At 50.9% G+C, this 21,584-nt stretch overlaps 1 protein-coding gene across 9 annotated transcripts in view, besides 1 other annotated feature; it reads right to left on the reverse strand.

Annotated features, from left to right (window-relative positions):
* PRKAR1B (protein kinase cAMP-dependent type I regulatory subunit beta) overlaps window positions 1-21,584 on the reverse strand; it is a 179,738-nt gene that overhangs the window by 124,039 nt on the left and 34,115 nt on the right. For 8 of the 9 annotated variants that reach the window (XM_047420607.1, NM_001164759.1, XM_047420608.1 and 5 more), the window contains exons 3-4: window positions 7,321-7,491; window positions 3,994-4,085 (exon numbers count right to left, since the gene is read on the reverse strand). In XM_047420607.1, the coding sequence (XP_047276563.1) occupies window positions 3,994-4,085; window positions 7,321-7,491 (263 nt within the window). Of the gene's footprint in view, window positions 1-3,993; window positions 4,086-7,320; window positions 7,492-18,304; window positions 18,573-21,584 lie in introns of those variants that run through there. The other variant, XM_011515446.3, reaches the window with a different exon arrangement.
* Window positions 2,691-2,865: a silencer, noted in NCBI's record as "fragment chr7:715563-715737 (GRCh37/hg19 assembly coordinates)". NCBI's record gives its function as "represses an EF-1alpha promoter that drives an FKBP-Casp9 reporter gene in an ReSE screen in K562 erythroleukemia cells {active_cell/tissue: K562}" and the evidence as "EXISTENCE:reporter gene assay evidence [ECO:0000049][PMID:32094911]".

A 21,584-nucleotide genomic window follows, 5' to 3' on the forward strand; every position in this document is an offset into this window, starting at 1 on the left:
TTCGTGATCTTCCAAACTGAATTTTCAACCGGGTGAACGTAATATCCGTTCAAAAACGACATTTCAATTGCATTGTAAATTGATGTTTAAATTCAAGTTAAAATAAATTCAAGTTAAAATAGTCTTCAGCTCAGCCGGGCGCGGTGGCTCACGCCTGTAATCCCAGCACTTTGGGAGGCCGAGGAGAGTGGATCACAAGGTCAGGAGATCGAGACCATCCTGGCCAACACAGTGAAACCCCATCTCTACTAAAAATACAAAAAATTAGCCAGGCATGGTGGCGGGCGCCTGTAGTCCCAGCTACCTGGGAGGCTGAGGCAGGAGAATGACGTGAACCTGTGAGGCAGAGCTTGCAGTGAGCCGAGATCGCCCCACTGCACTGAAGCCTGGGCAACAGAGTGAGACTCCATCTCAAAAAAAAAAAAAAATAGTCTTCAGCTCTTCAGTATCTGACTCCTCCTGGTGACCAGGTTCACCACTGCCAGGCAGACACCTCTGTGCACGTATCCCAGGGCCGCTGTGAGCAAGTACAGCAGGTCCTGAAACAACAGAAACGTATCGTCTCTGCAGTTCTGGGGCCAGAAGTCCAGATCCAGGATCAGCAGGTGGAAATCAAGGTGCCACAGGACCACGCCCTCCAGAGGCCCCGGGCAGGCCCCTCCTCGCCTCTTCAGGTGGCTGCGGCCCTCCTCGGCGTGTGCCACATCTCACCAACTCCTGCCTTGTGTTGCATGGCCTCTTCCCCTTCTGTGTGTGGCATCTCCTCCTGCCTCCCCTTAGAAGGCACAAGTGATGGCATCAGGGCCCTCCTGGGAAACCCAGGGCCACCCGCCCACCTCGAATCTCACTTCATCACATCTGCAAAGTCCCTCTCTGCCACTCAAGATGACACATCCAGGTCCCAGAGACTAGGTCGTGGGTATCCTGGGGGGCCTGGACACCTCCCAGGATGGAGTAGCCATGCCCAGCTACTCCAGCCACACCCAGCTACTCCAACCATGTCCAGGCTAATCCTGAATTCCAGCCACACCCAGCTACTCTAGTCACATCCAGCTACTCTAGTCATGCCCAGCAACTCCATCCATGCTTAGATACTCCAGCCATGCCCAGCTATTCCAGCCACACCCAGCTACTCTAGCCACATCTAACTACTCCAGTCATGCCCAGCTACTCCATGTATACCTAGCTACTCTAGCCACACCCAGATATTCCAGCCATGTCCAGCTACTCCAACCAAACCCAGCTATTCCAGCCACACTCAGCTATTCGAGTAGGCAGCCATGCCCAGCTACTCCAGCCAAACCCAGCTATTCCAGCCACACCCAGCTACTCTGGCCACATCTAGCTACTCCATCCATGCCTAGCTACTCTAGCCACACCCAGCTACTCCAGCAACACCCAGCTATTCCAGCCACACCCAGCTACTCTAGCCACATCTAGCCACTCGTCATGCCCAGCTAACTCTCTCCATGCCTAGCTACTCTAGCTACACCCAGATACTCCAGCCACACACAGCTATCCCAGCCATCCTCAGCTACTCTAACCACTGCTCAACCACAGAAGCAACAGGTGTTCCTGCTTGGGGTAACTGGGCACCCTGGACCCAAAGTATCCAGCCTGAACCAGCCACATGCTCTGGATAAGATAGGGTATTTCAGCATGATGTGAGTGGCTGGGTGCCAAGACCCTTGAAGGCCACTCCTCTGCACAGCCCCTGCCACCCTTTCTGAGTGAGATTCCAGCAAAATGTATCAAAAGCCTGTTAAAAACACACACACCAACACCCATCGGGATCTTCACAGGCCAATCTCTGACCCAGCAACCTGAATACCAGGAGTCTCCTGCCTAACCACAGCATCACTACTCACGGAAACATCGGAGCACGGAGAAATCAGAAGCCTCCCACGTGACCTTGGCAAAGGCAGCAGTTCATAAACTCTGATTCATTCTTACAATGGAACGCTGTGCAGATACGCACAACAATTAGATCTGTACTTATATGGAAGGACTTCCTAGACCCATCACCCCATCACTGGCGAGGAGCACAGCAGAGAACAATGCGTCTAGTGTGTTCCCAGGGTCCCCACCTGCACTCACGGGCACACGCCTGCAAACACACAGGGCGGCTGGAGCCCCCACCAGACCACCACACCGTTGCCCTCCGGGAGGGGGAGAAAAAGACACTTTCTCTTTGTATTTTATACATATGGAGGTCATTTAGATTTTATATAGGACTAGTATCAAAATATGCTCAGTTAATGTAATAAAGAATTATAATTTGTCAAAAAATTGTTTTAAAAGAGAGAATTTTCAATATGTTACACATCCTTTGATCACATCAAGGAATTTATCTCAAAGAAAGAAACGAACAAGTACTCCAAGATGAAAACACAAGGATGACCACCCAATGTTCATAAAGTTAAAAATGCAGGCCGGGCGCAGTGGCTCACGCCTGTAATCCCAGCACTTTGGGAGGCCGAGGCAGGTGGATCATGAGGTCAGGAGTTCGAGACCAGCCTGGCCAACATGGTGAAAACCCATCTCTACTAAAAATGCAAAAATTAGCCGGGCGTGGTGTCGGGATCCTGTAATCCCAGATACTCAGGAGGCTGAGGCAGGAGAATCGCTTGAACCCAGGTGGCGGAGGTTGAAGTGAGCCAAGATCATACGACTGCAGTCCAGCCTGGGCAACAGAGCAAGACTCTGTCTAAAATAATAATAATAATAGAGATTTAAAAAATGCAAACAGCCGCAGTAGGAAAACAGCTAATTCACATAGAAATTGACAGCACAAGACAACTGCAGCACGCTAACTGGCATGGAAAGGTGTTGAGGACGCCCCGAGTATGGGAAAACAGGGTAGAATGAGATGCTGTTACCGACGGGATCTGTGCACAAGGGCAATCCTTAACGCCTGTCCCCCAAATATCCCCAAGGATCATCCCTAGGCATCAGATGGAGACATTTTTGCTTTCAATCTTTTCAAAATTTTCCAATTTTTCCAATTATGTCTATGATCAACATCCCCACACATGGCGTCCAAGCCCCTTCACGCTCAGCCCTCTCCCTGAATAACCCTGACCTCCTCTGTCCCCTCACTGCGACCCTGCAGACCTCATCTGCTGTCACCTCCTGCCTCAGGCCTCCGAGCTCCCGGCACAGGCAGGAGCCGCAGGAAAGGTACATCCCGGCCCCATCTCCCCAACGAGGCTGTGAGCTTAGCAACGGCAAGGTATATCCATGCATGCGGAAGAGGCCGGAACACGAAGCCCACGGTAATCACACCACCTGTGCCTGCCTAGGTATAGCGCGCGGGGGAACCGCAGATCCAGACCCCCTATTTGAGGAAGGCAGCCGGGCCTTCCCAGAGCAGGGACTCAGCTCGGCAGCAGGGCAGGTGCACGCAGCATAGTATTTCGGGAAGCCACCCCTGCGTGGTGAGCCCACGTTTCCTGAGAGCTGTGACACGCTTCTCCTGGCGCCGAGCGTTCTGTATTCCATGGCCCATGAGTCAGAGAAACGGCAAAGCCTCCCTGGAGGCCGGGGAGGGCGGCGGTGATTCCCAGGAGAGCAACGGGGGCTGCCTACCTCCCCGAGGGCAAGGAGGGTGGTGGTGATTCCCGGGCAAGCAACGGGGCCTGCCCACCTCCCGGAGGGCAAGGAGGGCGGTGGTGATTCCCGGGCAAGCAACGGGGCCTGCCCACCTCCCGGAGGGCAAGGAGGGTGGTGGTGACTCCCGGGCAAGCAATGGGGCCTGCCCACCTCCCGGAGGGCAAGGAGGGCGGTGGTGATTCCTGGGCAAGCAACGGGGCCTGCCCACCTCCCGGAGGCCGGAGAAGGCAGCTGTGATTCCCAGGCGAGCAACGGGGGCTGCCCACCTCCTGGAGGCCAGGGAGGGAGGCAGTGATGCCCAGGCAAGTGGCGGGACCTGCCCACCTCCCGGAGGCCGAGGAGGGCGGCGGTGATGCCGGGGCAGGGGACGAGTCTGCCTACCTCCTCTCGTTGTCATCCAGGTGAGCGAAGAGCACGTTCTTGGAGATGGCCTTGGCCAGCGCAGTCATGGTTTTGTAGTCCTTGGGAATCACCTGAAGCGGAGCCAACACATCACCGTGTGAGCCACCCTGGCCTGATGCTGTGACGCGGCCTGAAATCTCCCTACTCCACCCTCAGCCTGCTGTTATCAGGCAATGGTACAAATATGCAATTTGAAGTTTAATGTGTATTTCACCACTGTTTTTTTCTAAACAGAGTCTTGATCACAGCTCACTGCAGCCTCAACCTCCTGGGCTCAGGTGCTCCTCCCACTTCAGCCTCCCAAGTAGCTGGGACCACAGGTATGCACCACCACACTTGGCTAACTTTTTTATTTTTAGTGGAGATGAGGTCTCACTATGTTGCCCAGGCTGGTCTCAAACATCTCAGCTCAAGCAATCCTCCCATCTCAGCCTCCCAAAGTGCTGGGATTACAGGTGTGAGCCACCGCACCCAGCCTCTTGTTACTTTTGAAATGCAGTCACGTGTCACGTAATGATGGGGAAGCGTTCTGAGAAATTCATCATGAGGCAATTTCATCATCATGCGAACATCACAGAGCAACAGACACAAGCCTAGCTGGTATAGCCTAACTATGCACTGAGGTTATAACATGATAGAGCCTATCGCTCTAGGCTACAAATCTGTACAGGATGTGGCCATCCTCAACACTGCAGGCAGCTGTAAGACAATGCTAGGTGTATCTAAACATATCTACACAGGCCGGGCACGGTGGCTCACGCCTGTAATCCCAGCACTTTGAGAGGCCGAGGCAGGCGGATCGCCTGAGGTCAAGAGTTCGAGACCAGCCTGCCCAACATGGTGAAACCCCATCTCTACTAAAAATACAAAAATTAGCTGGGAAAGGTGGTGGGCACCTGTAATCAGCCACTCAGGAGGCTGAGGCAGGAGAATCACCTGAACCCGGGAGGTGGAGGTTGCCATGAGGCAAGATCATGCCACTGCACTTCAGCCTGAGTGACAGAGGGAGAATTTGTCTCAAAAAAATAAACAAATAAACATATCTACACAGAGAAAAGGTACAGTAAAAAATATGGTATCATAATCTTACGGAACCACATATATGCAATCTGTCAACAACCAAAACGTGGTCATGTAGTGTGTGCCTGTATGCAGTACACTGTTACTGGCTGCAGTCACCCCACCGTGCAAAGATCTCAAAACCCATTCCTCCCGTCTGTCTGTCTGTCTGTCTGAAACTCTGCACCCTTTGATCAACAATTCCCCACTCCCTCTCTGGATGAATGAGAAGCACTACGAACATTTCAGATGCCAGGATATCCCCCGCTTAAAATGAAACCACGCAGGAAGGTCATTCGGGCCACAGTGAGACCTCCTGTTGTGCCTGGGCCACCCAGGAAGTCCCTGTCTGTCCAGGTGCAACTGCGGACCACGCAGGCTTAGGTGTGCTGCGTGTAACGCAGAGAGCCCCTGTGCAGACGTCTTTGAGAGACAGCAATGAAATCTCCTAAAAAGCCACTCCAGTTCTAACAGACTTTTAAAAATGTAAGTGTTGGATGGGCGTGGTGGCTCACACCTGTAATCCCAGCACTTTGGGAGGCTGAGGCAGGTGGATCACCTGAGGTCAGAAGTTCAAGACCCGCCTGGCCAACATGGTGAAACCCCATCTCTACTAAAAATACAAAAAAATTAGCCAGGCATGATGACAGGCACCTGTAATCCCAGCCAGTCAGGAGGCTGAGACAGGAGAATCACAGGAACCTGGGAGGCAGAGGTTGTGGTGAGCTGAGATCATGCCATTGCACTCCAGCCTGGACAACAAGAGTGAAACTCCATCTCAAAAAAATATATATAAATGTTTTGTTTTCAAATACTTTCTATTTACAGAGAAATTGCAAAGATCATTCTCGTGCACCTTGCAGTTCCCTGATGTTACTACCTTACATCCTATGATGCATTTATCACAACTGGGGAAGCCATGTCGATACATGACAGACACTGAGCTCCACACCTAATCTGTTCTTCCTTTGTTTGGCCTGAATGGCCTTTTTCTGTCCCAGGACCCCGTCCTGTCTCCCCCGTGGCCTCCGGTCTGCAACAGTTCTTCACACTCTCCTCGTGTGCCGTGAGCAGGGCTGGTCAGGCATTCTGCGGAGCATCCCGCAATTTAGGTTTATTTGAGGTTCTTCTCGTGGTTAGACTGAAGTTCTGGGTCTTGGGGAGGAAGACCCCAGAGGTGGAGTGCCCTAATAAATTTTTAACAATGCTTGCGCTAGCTTTAATTAGCTGATTATAAAAGTATTAAGTACTGCGGAAAGGAATGGGGTGTGCGTGTTTAGGGAATAGAGTCTCAGTTCTGCAAGGTAAGAAGGTTCTGGAGATGGTGGTGGTGATGATTCCACAACAATGAGAATGTGCTTAACGCCACTCAACTGTGCACTCAGAAATGGCTAACAGGGTACTGGGGACTGACTTGTGTCTCCCCAGAAATTCACATATGGAAGCCCTAACCAGCCATGCTATGGTATTTGGAGAGAGGCCTTTGGGAGGTGGCTGGGGTTGGATGGGGTCATGAGAGAAGGGCCCTGAATAATGGGATTTGTGCCTGTATAAGAAGAGACCAGAGATGCTGGGCATGGTGGCTCACGCCCGTAACCCCAGCACTTTGGGAGGCCAAGACGGGCATATCACAAGGTCAGGAGATTGAGACCATCCTGGCTAACACAGTGAAACCCCGTCTTTACTAAAAATACAAAAAATTAGCTGGGTGTGGTGGTAGGCACCTGTAGTCCCAGCTACTCGGGAGGCTGAGGCAGGAGAATGGCATGAACCTGGGAGGCGGAGCTTGCAGTGAGCTGAGATCGCACCACTGCACTCCAGCCTGGGGGACGGAGCAAGACTCTGTTTCAAAAAAAAAAAAAAAAAAAAAGAGAGAGACCAGAGAGGCTGCAGGAGCATGGGAGGCACACAGCCCAGGACAGAGCCTCTGCTCACTCCAAGGACCTGGATGCCAGCGAGTCCCTTCCCTTCCTGAGCCTGTGAGGAACCTAAGGCCGCCATGGGGCTGCAGTGACCCCACACAGAGCTGCTCCCATAAATTTGAGCTCAGCTCATCTGGCAAAGACAGTAGCAAACCAAGCCCACCCAGAACTGCCTCTGCCATCACCCACATAGTCCTCCCTCCAACCAGGATGACACTGAGACCCCCAGGAGGATGAGGGTGCCCCGTGGGCTTCCAGGGAGCTCACAGGTGACAGCCACGTGCCGAGGCCTGGGGACAGGAACCCCGTGACCCGTGAGCCTCACCTTCCTGACGTAGGACACGGCGTCCTCCTCGGTGTACACCTCGGCACTCACGCCTCCTCGCCGGCGGCGGGCCTTCACCACAGGGTTCGGGGGGGTGGGCGACACCTCCTCATCATGGGAGTCCGACTGTGAGTTTGACTTTTGCCGCGCCAAAATCTGCCTGTTTTCTTCCTGTGTGGGAGAGGAAAACACAGAAAGGAAGTAAGAACCTGGCTGTCCCGGCCAGGCACAGGGCCCATGCCTGTGATCCCAGCACTGTGGGAGGACTAGTGGGAGGATCGCTTGAACTCAGGAGTTGGACATACGGTTAGGCTTTGTGTCCCCACCCAAATCTCTTTTTCTGTCCCCACCCAAATTTCACTTTGTGTCCCCACTCAAATCTCATTTTGTGTCCCCCACCAAATCTCATCTTGAATTGTAATCCCCATCATCCCCATCATCCCCACTTGTCCAGGGAGAGACCAGGTGGAGGCGACTGAATCATGGGGCAGTTTCCCCCTTGCTGTTCTCGTGATAGTGAGGGAGTTTTCACAAGATCTGATGGGTTTCCAAGGGACTCCTCCCCCTTCACTCAGCACTTCTCCTTCCTGCTGCCTTGTGAAGAAGCGGCTCTGCTTCCCCCCTGCTGCCTTCTGCTATGATCATAAGTTTCCTGAGGCCCCCCGAGCCATGCAGAACTGTGAGTCAATTCAACCTCTCTGTAAACTACGCAGTCTTGGGTGGTTCTTTATAGCAGTATGAAAATGGACTAATACACCCTGTCTCTATAAAAAAAAAAAAAAAAAGAATTAGCTGTAAGTGGGTTCACCTAAAGTTGCAGTTCCTAAGAACCTGTCAACATTTCTGTGTATGTACCAGTTTTGTGAGACATTAAAAAATAAAGTGGGTGAGGCTCTCCAGGTAATTTTTATAACTGCCTGCACATCCACAATTATCTCAAAATTAAAACTTTAATTTGCTTTTTAAAGTGAGTGAGAGGCTGAACTGGTGTGGGGTTTATGGAGGCTGAGATGACAAGCATCTGGAGGTCTGCTGGGAGGAGGGGACTGGAAGTTGAGCCCCGAGTCACCGTGGAACGACCATGGTTGTGTCCTCCACGTGGGCTGGGGTTGCTCCGAAGCCCACCCTGCCTTGAGCTGTGGATGGCAGGATGCACCACCACTGCAGACCTTGCTCCTGCCCACAGACAAGTGCTTCGACCACTGTCCCCAGCTCTTCAGCCACTCTAAACCTCATGCATCCGGCATGGTCTTAGCCAGCCTGGGCATTTCAATCCCACCAGGGCCAATGTGCCTTTCCTCCTGCACCTGGAGGACCTGAGTTTGCATAACCTGCAGCCTAAACACTGACCTCCACCACGCTCAAAGGTGGGCTTAGGACCAGAGGCAGGGGGCTCTGTGGTCTGAGGACACACCGGGCCCTGAGCTGAGCCCCTTTCTCACTGCAATTCTGCCTCTTTGGGAAAAGGGTGAATGAAGTAAGGGGAGGGAGGGAGGAAGGAAGAAGGGAGGAGGGAGCAGGGAGGAGGGAGAGGAGAAGTCAGGAATCAGCAGGGCCAGGCAGCCTGGAGAGCCCAGGAGCTCAGTCCTCGTCCTAAGGCCACACCGGGTAGCTCACAGGGACCACAGATGAGCACACTCCTTTCCTAGAGTGCTGTGTGACCCTGAGTAAGTTGCTTGACCTCACCGGGACTCATCTGTGAGGGGAAATGAAGACACATGTCCCTGGCATCGTAGTAAGAAGAGACTTCAGGCCAAGTGCGGTGGCTTCAGGCTGGGTGTGGTGGCTTCTGGCCGGGTGTGGTGGCTCACGCCTATAATCCCAGCACTTAGGGAGGATCATTTGGCCCCAGGAGTTCAAGACCAGCCTGGGCAACATAGTGAGACCATAACTCAAAAAAAATTTGTTGGCCAGGCACGGTGGTTCACGCCTGTAACCCCAGCACTTTGGGAGGCCGAGATGGGTGGATCACGAGGTCAGGAGATCGAGACCATCTTGGCTAACACGGTGAAACCCTGTCTCTACTAAAAATACAAAAAATTAGCTGGGTGTGGTGGCAGGCACCTGTAGTCCCAGCTACTCCGGAGGCTGAGGCAGGAGAATGGCGTGAACCCGGGAGTGAGCTTGCAGTGAGCCGAGATCGTGCCACTGCACTCCAGCCTGGATGACAGAGCGAGACTCTGTCTCAAAAAAAAAAAAAAATTGTTTTAAGGAAAAGAGATTTCAACCTGTCCTAACAGATATGAATGGCTCTGTGTGCAGAAGCAATGCTGGCTCACATGACCTGAGTGTTCACCTTGGTCACTCATGCCCTATTCAGCCTCGAGGTGGGTGCGGCCCCCAACCCCTCACACAGATCAGGCACACAAGGCCCTCGCTCTCCCTCCCGGCCTCACCCTGATCCATCCCCTGGCTTTCCTGCCGGTCCTCTGAGGGCTTTGGTCCCCCACAGCTCGGGAGCTTCCCGAAAAAAGATGGCGGCCCTATCAGGCAGGGCCTTGCGTCATGGACCAGGAGGTGGAGGAGGAATTCAGGGGCAACCAGGCCAAGTTCCCTACCAATGCCTTCTGACATCCCAAGACCCAGACGTGCCCACCTGTGACAAGGCTGAGACCACGGCTCTGAGATGCTCACTCTCCAGGGGTACAGGAGCTCTGGGGTCCTGGGGTCTGACAGATGCAGACACCACGTGAATGCCAAGGCCGGGGTGCCACCAGCCCTATGTCTGGGTATCCCCTTCCTTGACTTTCAAAAACCATCCCTTTAAGCAAATGGTTTGCTTATTGGTTCCAAATATTGAACCCAAGGATTTCTGAGAATTGGCCATTTAAAGTCAGCCAGGTGCACCGGTCCAGGTGGGTGAGGTGATCACCAGATCACACCAAGGTAGAGGATGCAGGAGAGGAGTCTGAGACCCCAGCCCGCCCTGGCTTCCTGCGGACTCTGTAGCCATTCCTCCTGTTCCAGGAACCTCCAGTAAACAAATGACTGTCTCCCCAGCCTGTTAAAACTGGGACATGGGTGGGAGCTCCTGCTGAATGCCAGCCGCCATCCATCCTGTGGGTGGTGGACATGAGTGAAGGGTCCCCACAGACCAGAGTGGGCCTGGCCGGCACCCACATGGAGCAGCGGGATGCAGTCACAGAGACGCCCTGACCAATACCGGCCTCAAGCCCCACTCCTGGCCCACCTGCCACGTGCCAGGCACGGCACCCACTCCCCACGGAAGGGCAGCCTGGAGAGCTGCTTGTTGCTCCCTCAGAAACAATCCCACCCGCTCCTCACCCAGCCCGATGTGGCCGTCTGTCAATCACAGCCAAGGGCAGTTTCCCCAGAGGCCCCCACTTCTTCTGCAGCTGATGCCCACCTCCATGTGTGCCAATGCCCACCTCCACGTGCACTGATGCCCATCTCCGTGTGCCAATGCCCACTTCTGCATATGCCAACGCCTACCTCCACATGCACCAATGCCCACCTCCACACGTGTGCTGATGCCCTCTGTGTATGCCGATGCCCACCTCCATGTGCTCCAATGCCCACCTCCACGTGCACCAATGCCCACCTCTACGTGTGTGCTGATGCCCACCTCTGTGTACACCAATGCCCACCTCCATGTGCTCCAATGCCCACCTCCACGTGCACCAATGCCCACCTCTGCCTGTGCCAGCCAATTCTGTCTCCTCAAACACCTATCAGATGCTAATTGCCCAGCCGGGAAGACGCTGAGTACACGGGGATTGCCGGGTGAAGCTTTATGCGATCATTTAAATATATCTTGACGGAGCTTCCCCAAAAAAAATGGCAGATGGAAAGTGCACGTTTCCTCTTTTCCCTCTAGCGACCTCTCGAATGACAGCAAAATAAAAATATATGCATATATACATCTACCACAATGACCAGAATGGCAGGAACGCTATCTGAGATTTCTGGAAAACAGACAATGACCTGAAGCATGGAATTTGACATTCAGACGAAGTACGCAGCAGCCCGGGGTATGTGAAGCAGGTTCTCCCGGATCCACGGAGGGAACGGTTCTGCTGCAGAGCCCCACAGAGCAGAGGACAGAGGTGGTGAAAGTCATCAAGATCCAGACCCAGGACCACAGGAGCTCGGAAGCCTGGGAGCCAGGCAGCCCCCCAAGGCCAGGAGCCCAGGTGTCCTGTGGCTGCTCCTTCTCTTCCCTTTTACAGTGGAAATTCCCAAACTACACAAGAGTAGACAGAGTAATACAATGAATCACCAAACGTCCATCACCCACCCTCAACCATTATCAAAATGGAGCCAGTCCTATTTCATTTCACCTCCACCCACTTCACACAGACACACACACACACACACACACACACAGAGGATGGAAGCAAATCTCAGATACAGCATTTCATTTTAAATACTTCAATATCTAGCTCTAAAATACACTTGTTAAAACATAACCACAATCCCCATTACCATCTGCCATGAGTTGGATGTGGTTTGTCCCTCCTGAAATTTGATCCTCAATGTGGTGATGTTGGGAGGTCCATGAATGTAACCTTTTATATTAATTAATATAATTCATGTTACACATATAACATACACATAACAGTAGGAAGATACAACATGAAAATATCTTAAAAAGAGACAAAGACAGAGAAAAACCATGTCTGTATATACATATATATAACATGTTATATATATATACACACACATATAACACGTTTTATATATACATATATACGTATATATACGTATATATATGTATACATATATATATACGTATATATACGTATATATACGTATATATACGTATATATATGTATACATATATATATACACATATATATATATACATACATATATATATATATATGTATATATATACCAAAAACATTCCAGGAGGCTCAATATCTGATTAACAGCAGTTCCAGAAAGTAAAATAAAATAGAAACTTGTCAGAAATAAAAGAAAAATTTCTCTAAACTGAAGAACATGAGTGTCTTGGTTGACAGAGCCCACAAGATTTTCAGTCCTAGTAAAAGGATCTCTTACACTGTACTTCCAGGGATAAGAATTTTCCAAAAGCTCCCATAGAGAAAAGTCAGTTCACCTACAAAGGACTGACAATAAGAATGGCTCAAACTTCTCAAAAGAAACACTAGATACTAGAGGACAATGAAACGAAGCCTCCAACATTCTGAAGGAAACTTCCTTTCAACCTAGACTTTTATACCCAGCTAAACTAGCATTCATGTTTGTAGTTATAACAAAGGCATTTCCCCAGTATACTTGATCAATACTTTTTAACTTTCAGAATTTACTTACAAAGCATAAAAGGCATAATTCTAGTTTTTTAAAAAATATATAAATATTATCAATATGGACAATGCAAAATGAAAAGTTCAGATAACAAAAACATAATAAAATTTTGAAAAGGAAAGCTAAGCAGGGTGGATATGTGAAGACCTTTGCCTTTTAAAATGGAGAATCGGCCAGGTGTGGTGGCTCACACCTGTAATCCCAGCACTTTGGGAGGCCAAGGTGGGCGGATCACGAGGTCAGGAGATTGAGACCATCCTGGCTAACACAGTGAAACCCCGTCTCTACTAAAAATACAAAAAAATTAGCTGGGCGTGGTGGTGGGCACCTGTAGTCCCAGCTACTCGGGAGGCTGAGGCAGAAGAATGGTGTGAACATGGGAGGTGGAGCTTGCAGTGAGCCGAAATCGTACCACTGCACTCCAGCCTGGGCGACAGAGCGAGATTATGTCTCAGAAAAAAAAAAAATGGAGAATTAAAGAATACAGTTCACAATGAAATTGTAAAGGGGTTAGTGTATCATTTAAAATTTAGGATTTTAGAAAGGAAATAGTAAAAGATTTTAAAATGGTGATACAACTATACTGGGAAGATGGAGAGAGAAGGTGGGGTCATCTGGCATTGCCCAAAGTCAACAGAGGGTGCTGAAAATTTTAGTTATTATTTACTACCACTCTGACCCAAGCCAGCATTCATCTCTCATCTAGAATATTGACATGGTTGTTCTTGCAGTTAGAGATTTTATTAAAGTATAAATCAGGTTTTTACTCCTGTTAATGACTGACTAGGTTGTTTAGATTGAGCTTTCTGGAGAGATCAACTAGAAAACCTTGATGAAAGGTTAAAAACATATTTTTGAAAGCATCAGAGAGCTACCACAGCAGAGAAGAATTAATTACAAGGCCAATTTCAAGGAGAAGACAGAAACCCAGAGAGATGAACACAGCAGTTGGAACCACAAGAAGTGTCTACAACAAGCAGCCGAGAAGCTGACAGGCTGAGGTTTCAACACATTTGCAGAGGTAGGAAAGATCAAAACTGGAACTTATGGCCTGCCTAGGAAAAGAAATCCTAGTAAATCCTCCAGATTTTGTGCTTTGGCCCAGAAGATTTTGTGTGGACACTAGAAAGAAAGATGAGCTGGGATTAAGCCAGCCTCCCTGGGACTGAATCTCAGCTCAAATCATCTCAGTCCCTAATTGGATAAGGGTGATCCAGGATTACTAGCACCCCTAGGCTAGCCATTTTTCCAAAGCAATTATACATTCTCTCAAAAGGAATATATCAGCCTCAAATTTTCTCTTTAATTTTTCATATGTAATGTTGGGAACTCAATCAAAAACAACTCAGATACAAAGAGACAAGATCATGTAATCAAAACCCAGGAGAAGCAAAAGACAATACAAAAAGATCCCCTCAGGGGATGCAGATCATGGAGTTAATGGACATAGACTTTAAAATAATTATGCTCAGTATGTTCAAGGAAATAAAAGATGAAATTGAGAACACTGGCACGAAACTAAGAAAAAAAACTATAAGGCACGTGGAAATGCTAGAATCAAAAAAACATAAAAATTGGAACTAAGAACTTGGTGGATGGGTTTAACAGCAGATGAGAAACACAAGGGAAGAAATTAATAACCTGGAAAATAGATGAAAATATCCAGACTGCAGTACAAAGACAGGAAAGGAAAGCAGCTACAGAAAAGTGCTGAAGAGCATGTGGACTATGGCAAAAAGCTCCAGTTTATGTGAATTCGAGTTCCAGATGGAGGGGAGAGAATATGGCAGAAGCAACGTTTGAAGAGATCATGATGAAGAATTTTCCTAAACTAATTAAAGACATCAGGCCACAGATTCAACAAGAACACAAACTCCCACACAGGATAAACCAGCATAGCGTGGTAAACCGCAGGAGCTAAAGACAGAGAAGAACCTAAAATGCAGCCAGAAAAAAAGGCATTACCGGCCGGGCATGGTGGCTCATGCCTGTAATCCCAGGACTTTGGGAGGCCGAGGCAGGCGGATCACCTGAGGTCAGCAGTTCAAGACCAGCCTGGCCAATATGATGAAACCTCATCTCTACCAAAAATACAAAAATTAGCCGGGCATGGTGGCAGGCACCTGTAATTCCAGCTCCTCGGGAGGCTCAGGCAGGAGAATCATTTGAACCCAGGAGGGAGAGGTTGCAATGAGCCAAGATCATGCCACTGCACTCCAGCCTGGGCGACAAACCAACACTCCACCTCAAAAAAAAAAAAAAAAAAAAAAAAGCTGAGCACGGTGGCTCACACCTGTAACCCCAGCACTTTGGGAGGCCAAGGCGGGCGGATCACCTGAGGTCAGGAGTTCGAGACCAACCTGGTTAACATGGCAAAACCCCATCTCTACTAGAAAAATACAAAAAAAGTAGCTGGGCGTGGTGGCATGTGCCTGTAATCCCAGTTACCCAGGGGGCTGAGACAGGAGAATTGCTTGATCCGGGAGGTGGAGGTTGCGGTGAGCCAAGATTGTGCCACTGCACTCCAGCCTGGGCAACAGAGTGAGACTCCATCTCAAAAAAAAAAAAAATACAAGACAGATTGCACACTCCCCTGCCCACTGGAACCCTCCAATGGCCTCCGATCTGAGTTGAAACAGAATTGTTTATGTCAGCCAGCAAGGCCCTGCGTGATCTGCCCTCAGCCCCATACCCCTCACCTGCCCCAGGGCTCTCTGCTGTCCTCCCACACGAAACACACTTCCGCCTTTCACTTGCAATTATCTGCCAAGGACAGCCTTCCTCAATGTCTCAGGGCTCCCTCCCTTCCCTCCCCAAGTCTCCACTGAAATGTGACCTTCTCAGTGCAGGAAAACCCTCCCAATACGCCTCTCCTCCCCCTCCAGAGCTCTGCGGTCCTCTCAGCAGTTACGTATTGCTGTGAGCAGCAATCTCACAGTTACCTATCTGACGTATTTTGCGTCTTAACCATGGTTATTGTCTGTCTCCCTCACTAGAATACTGCCTGGGCTTGATTCACTGCTAAATCTCTGGTGCTTAAAACAGCGCCTGCATACAGTAAATGCTTAATACATATTTGTTAAATAAATATCAAAGAGGCAAGATCATGTGATCAAAAATCAAGAGAAGCAACAGACAATACAAAGAGATCCCCCCAGGGGAAGCAAATCATGGAATTTGTGGACAAAGACTTTAAAATAATTCTGCTCAGTATGTTTGAGGAAATAAAAGACAAAATTGAGAACACTGGAACAGAACTAAAAAGAAAAAAAAATTTTTTTTTTTTGAGGCAGAGTCTCGCTCTGTCACCCAGGCTGGAGTGCAGTGGCGCGATCTCGGCTCACTGCAAGCTCTGCCTCTGCCTCCCAGGTTCATGCCATTCTCCTGCCTCAGCCTCCCAAGTAGCTGGGACTACAGGCGCCCACCACCACACCCGGCTAATTTTTTGTATTTTTAGTAGAGACGGGGCTTCATCATATTAGCCAGGATGGTCTCGATCTCCTGACCTTGTGATCCACCCACCTCAGCCTCCCAAAGTGCTGGGATTACAGGCGTGAGCCACTGCACCTGGCAATGTTTTTAAAGCCAAATGGAAATGCTAGAATCCAAAAACATAATAATAAACAAAAAAATTATTTCAATTTTTGAAGAAAACAAAATTTGAAATTCACATCACAGAGTAACCCAGGATACATTAAAATTGTAAACACTTTCCTTCTTTTCTTACTTAGTATTTTATCTAGACTTTGACTACAACCATGCAACAAAAGAAAAAGATGGGGAGGATAAGGAGGGGAGGGGGAGGAGAGCCTGCATATAAAAAAAGACCCAAAGAGAAGACTTTTTTTTTGAGACAGAGTATCGTTCTGTTGCCCAGGCTGGAGTGCAGTGGTGCAATCTCAGCTCACTGCAAGCTCCGCCTCCCAGGTTCACGCCATTCTCCTGCCTCAGCCTCTCGAGTAGCTGGGACTACAGGCACCCACCACCAAGCCTGGCTAATTTTTTTGTATTTTTAGTAGAGAACTGGGTTTTACCATGTTAACCAGGATGGTCTCAATCTCCTGACCTCGTGATCCGCCCGCCTCGGCCTCCCAAAGTGCTGGGATTACAGGCATGAGCCACCGCGCCTGGCCGAGAACACAGTTTTTAAAGAGCTGAGGGAGGGAGGCCAGGCACGGTGGGCTCACGTCTGTAATCCCAGCACTTCGGGAGGCCAAGGCAGGAGGATCACTTGAGGCCAGGAGTTCGAGACCACCCTGGGCAACATGGTGAAACCCCGTCTCTACTAAAATACAAAAATTAGCCAGGCGTGGTGGTGTGCTCCTGTAATCCCAGCTACTCTGGAGGCCGAGGCAGGAGAATCGCTTGAACCCAGGAGGCAGACGTTGCAGTGAGCTGAGATCATGCTATTGCACTCCAGCCTGGGTGACAGAGTGAGACTCTGTCTCAAAAAAAAAAAGAGCTGAGAGAGGAAGGGAGCGAGGGCTGAAAAGCGACGGCTGGGTGCTATGCTCACTACCCAGCTGCTGGGGCCATCCATACCCTAGACCTCAGCATCACGCCGCATCCCCACGTAACAAACCTGCACACGTACCCCCAAACCTAAAATAAAAGTTGGAAAAAAAGAAATTAAATAAGAAGCCATTAACAACAACAACAACAAATTTCAAGTGCTGAGCTATTGGGATCAGGGTGGAATTTCTTCAGCTTCGTGCATGTTGCTGTAATGTTAACACAACACAAACAAATTGGAAGGAACTATGTCATAATAAAAGTAAACTACTGTGTGCCACTGTGCAGACATAAATACCACTAAAACCACCTAAATAAATAACAAGTCCCAGAAGGAATGCCCCCACCAGCTGCACACCCAGAAGACGGGGCTCCTCAGGAAGGGGCTGGTGCTTCTCAGACGCTCAGAGGCCTGATGCCTGGGGCTGTAAAAAAAAACAAAAAAACACAACACCCAGCAGTCCTGTGTCCAGCTGCACAAATGGGTGCCAGCTCCAAGGCTGACCGGTCTCCACTGCATCCTCCTCAGCGGGCCTGGCGGCTGGTGTCTCCACTGCCAGCCACCACAGGCTCCTCTCAGCCTGCACTTGGGAATTCTTCCCAGCGGCCCATCGGCTCTGCTGCAAATCCTACCCGAAGGGTCCCGCGCCCACCCACACTGGCCAGTCCGCTGCAAATCCTACCCACAGGGTCCCACGCCCACCCACACTGGCCAGTCCGCTGCAAATCCTACCCGAAGGGTCCCACGCCCACCCACACTGGCCAGTCCGCTGCAAATCCTACCCGAAGGGTCCCGCGCCCACCCAAACTGTCCACTGCGCTGCAAATCCTACCCAAAGGGTCCTGTGCCCACTCAAACTGGCCAGTCCACTGCAAATCCTACCCGAAGGGTCCCGCGCCCACCCAAACTCGCCAGTGGAAATGGGTTTCCATCCGTGAAATGAGCCTGCAGGTGATGGGGAAACTCGGCCAGGCCAAGATCAGGACCTCTCTGCCAACAGAGATATCTCCTCTAAAAGCAGTGAGATTCCAAATCCCCTGCCTGGTCAGGAGGGGTGCAGGAGGGTGGCTTTGATGGAGAGGGAGTGCCTCCACTCCCACGGATGAAGATGCAGGCAGGGCCCCCCAGCGCACCACAGCCATCCAGGGAGAGCAAATGAAGAGGAGAGCTGGGCATTACCAGTGGATCCATGTCCACACGCCCTTCCGCCTACACGCAGTCCTTTCGGACAGCCCAAAGTGAGGTGGACGCCCTGCCGTGTGCTGAATGGCATGTGGCCTCCGCCCAGGTCTCCAGGGAGCTGTTGGAAACCCAGTGCTGTGACCTCACACGGTCAAAAGCAGCTCCTCGTGGACAAAACCCCGGGGAGGGGAATCCAGGGTGCTGAGGGGATGGACCACAGGGCTCTACAAACACCGGCAATCACCTCCTGCGGAGGACGGCGCATCCCCTGAACTCCCTGCCAAGTAAACACCTCATCACTCTCCGGTCACCATGACAACGGGCCATCTCACAATCTCTCAGAATGGCACAGACGCCTCCCTGGAGCTGCGAGTCCCTTGCTCACATCCATCCCCAGGCTGAATCACTGGGAGACGGAAATCAAGGGTGAGACGCTGCAAATACTTTCTCAAACCTTTGCATCCTTCTAATCGACCTCAGGTATCGGCTGTATGGGACCCGCTCTTAGGGAAATCATCACATCGTCATCCACTGCTCCTACACAAACCAGGAGGTCTCACTAGAAATGGCAGGTGGGCCAGGCATGGTGGCTCATGCCTGTCATCCCAGCACTTTGGGAGGCCAAGGCAGGCAGATCACCTGAGGTCAGGAGTTCGAGACCAGCCTGACCAACATGGTGAAACCCCATCTCTACTAAAAATACAAAAATTAGCCACATGTGGTGGCGCACGCCTGTAATCCCAGCTACTTGGGAGGCTGAGGCAGGAGAATCGATTGAACCCAGGAGGTGGAGGTTGCAGTGAGCTGAGATCGCGCCATGGCACTCCAGCCTGGGCAACAAGGGCGAAGCTCTGTCTCAAAAAAAGAAACAGAGAGACAGAGAGACAGAGAGAGAGAGAGAGAAGGAGAAGAGAAGAGGAGAAGAGAAGAGAAGAGAGAGAAGGCAGGTGCATCACAAGTGAGGGGCTCTGGGCCTTTGTAGAAATTACTAGAAATAGTAGCAATAATAGAGTCGGCAGGAACCTGAAGCCAGGGAGTTGAGAGAGGTTGGTTGGGACCGCTCCCCTGACGGCAGTGCAAATTGTTTATATCAACACTGAGGCCCTGCAGTCGCCCGGGAGAAACAGAAACCTCAGGCCAAACTGCGCTCATACCAGAGTAATTTTTCAGCAGTTCACATTGCCTCCTGAAGGTTGGGGAGGCAGGAACACAGCCGGAGACCGACCCGGGCACTCAACGCACGTTCAGTCAGGGAGAGGGCAAGAGGCAGGACAGCCCTGGACAGGGAAGGGCAGGTTCTCAACCCCATAGTAGGAAAACCTGGGGCTTCATCCCAGATGCCCTGCAGGCTGGAGGGGGCTGAGAAGAGGAGTTTGTTTGAGCAGGTGAGTGGGACTTTTTTTTTTTCTTGAGATGGAGTCTCGCTCTGTTGCCCAGGCTGGAGGGCAGTGGTGCGATCTCGGCTCACTGCAAGCTCCGCCTCCCGGTTTCACACCTTTCTCCTGCCTCAGCCTCCCGAGTAGCTGGGACCACAGGCGCCCACCACCACACCCAGCTAATTTTTGTATTTTTATTAGAGACAGGGTTTCCCCATGTTGGCCAAGCTGGTCTCGAACTCCTAACCTCAAGTGATCCTCCTGCCTCGGCCTCCCAAGGTGCTGGGATTACAGGTGAGAGCCAGTGGGTCCTGTCGAGCTTTTTTTTTTTTTTTTAATTGAGGTAAAAGTCACATAACTTAAAGTTAACAATCAACTGTATTAAAGTGCACAATTCAGCCACGTCGACACATTCACCGTGCTGTGCAACCACCACCTCCATCCAGATCCAGGACCTTTGCAGACCCTGTGCCATTCAGCAGCTGTCCCCCGACACCCGCCCCAGCCCCCGACAGCCCCGAATCGACTTCCTGTCTCTGTGCAACTGCCTGTTCCTGCTACTTCACAGAAGCGGAATTGCGCAGCATTTGGCCTGTTGCGTCTGGCTCATTTCACTGGCATTACGTGTCCCAGGTTCGTCCGCGCTGTGCTGCGTGTCAGGTGATTCACTCCTTTCTGTGGCTGAGGGACTTCCCTTGCGTGGAGAGGCCACACTGTTTGTCCTCTCGAGCTGACGGACGTGCGAGGTTTTCACATCGTGGCTCCTGTAAGCAGTGCTGCTCCAAACGCTCATGTAGAGGCGTGTGTTTGAAGACCTGTTCTCAATTCTTCGGGCTGTGTACCTAGGAGTGGCACTGCTGGGTCCTGTGGTCACTGCATGTTTAACTTTCCTGGGAAATGCCAAGCTTCCTTCCACTGTGGCTGTACCAACTCACATTCCCGACAGCAGCGCACAAGGGTTCCATGTCCCCCACACCCCCACAACATCCATCTTATGTTTCATTTTTGCTTTTGTTTTTAATATGGACAGCATGCATTGGGTTTGGGATGTACTGCCTTTGCGATAACCGCGAGACCTGGACTCGGCCGGGCGTGGTGGCTCACGCCTGTAATCCCAGCACTTTGGGAGGCCGAGGTGGGCAGATCACGAGGTCAGGAGATGGAGACCATCCTGGCTAACACGGTAAAACCCTGTCTCTACTAAAAATACAAAAAAATTAACTGGACTTGGTGGTGTGCGCCTGTAGTCCCAGCTACTCGGGGGGCTGAGGCAGGAGAATCACATGAACCCGGGAGGCACAGCTTGCAGTGAGCTGAAATCGCACCACTGCACTCCAGCCTGGGCGAGAGAGCGAGACTCCATCTCAAAAAAAAGAAAAAACAGTGAGACCCGGACTTGGGAATGGCCCACAGAGGGCTAGAGTTTAGACCCGGGACCAAGACACAAGCTCCAGGGTTTAGACCCCGGACCAAGACATCAGGTCTCGTCTGGACGCTCAGCTCCAACAGATCCCACAAAGCCAACCCCAAAGAGACTAGCCTGGAGTCAGAGTAGCTTGCCAAGGAGAGAAGGATGTGGGGCCTCCTTCCCCTAATGCCCAGGCCCCAGGCGATGTGCCTGGCGAACTCCTACATATACTTTAAAGCCTGTTTCAATGCCACCTCCATAGGAAGTTTTGGGTCCCCTTCCCCTTCCCCCACCCACCTCCAGTGCATTCTGCTCAGACCTCTGTGAGAGCTCACATCACGTGTTCCCAAGATGATGTCTTGCACGAGTTCGTTACTGCCCCCATCTCAGAGACACAGTGCCAGGTGCACTCAAGAACCAGGTGAAGGGCCGGGCATGGTGGCTCACACCTGTAATCCCAGCACTTTGGGAGGCCAAGGTGGGTGGATCACCT

This window comes from Homo sapiens, chromosome 7, assembly GCF_000001405.40.
Source record: "Homo sapiens chromosome 7, GRCh38.p14 Primary Assembly".
Classification (NCBI taxonomy): domain Eukaryota; kingdom Metazoa; phylum Chordata; class Mammalia; order Primates; family Hominidae; genus Homo; species Homo sapiens.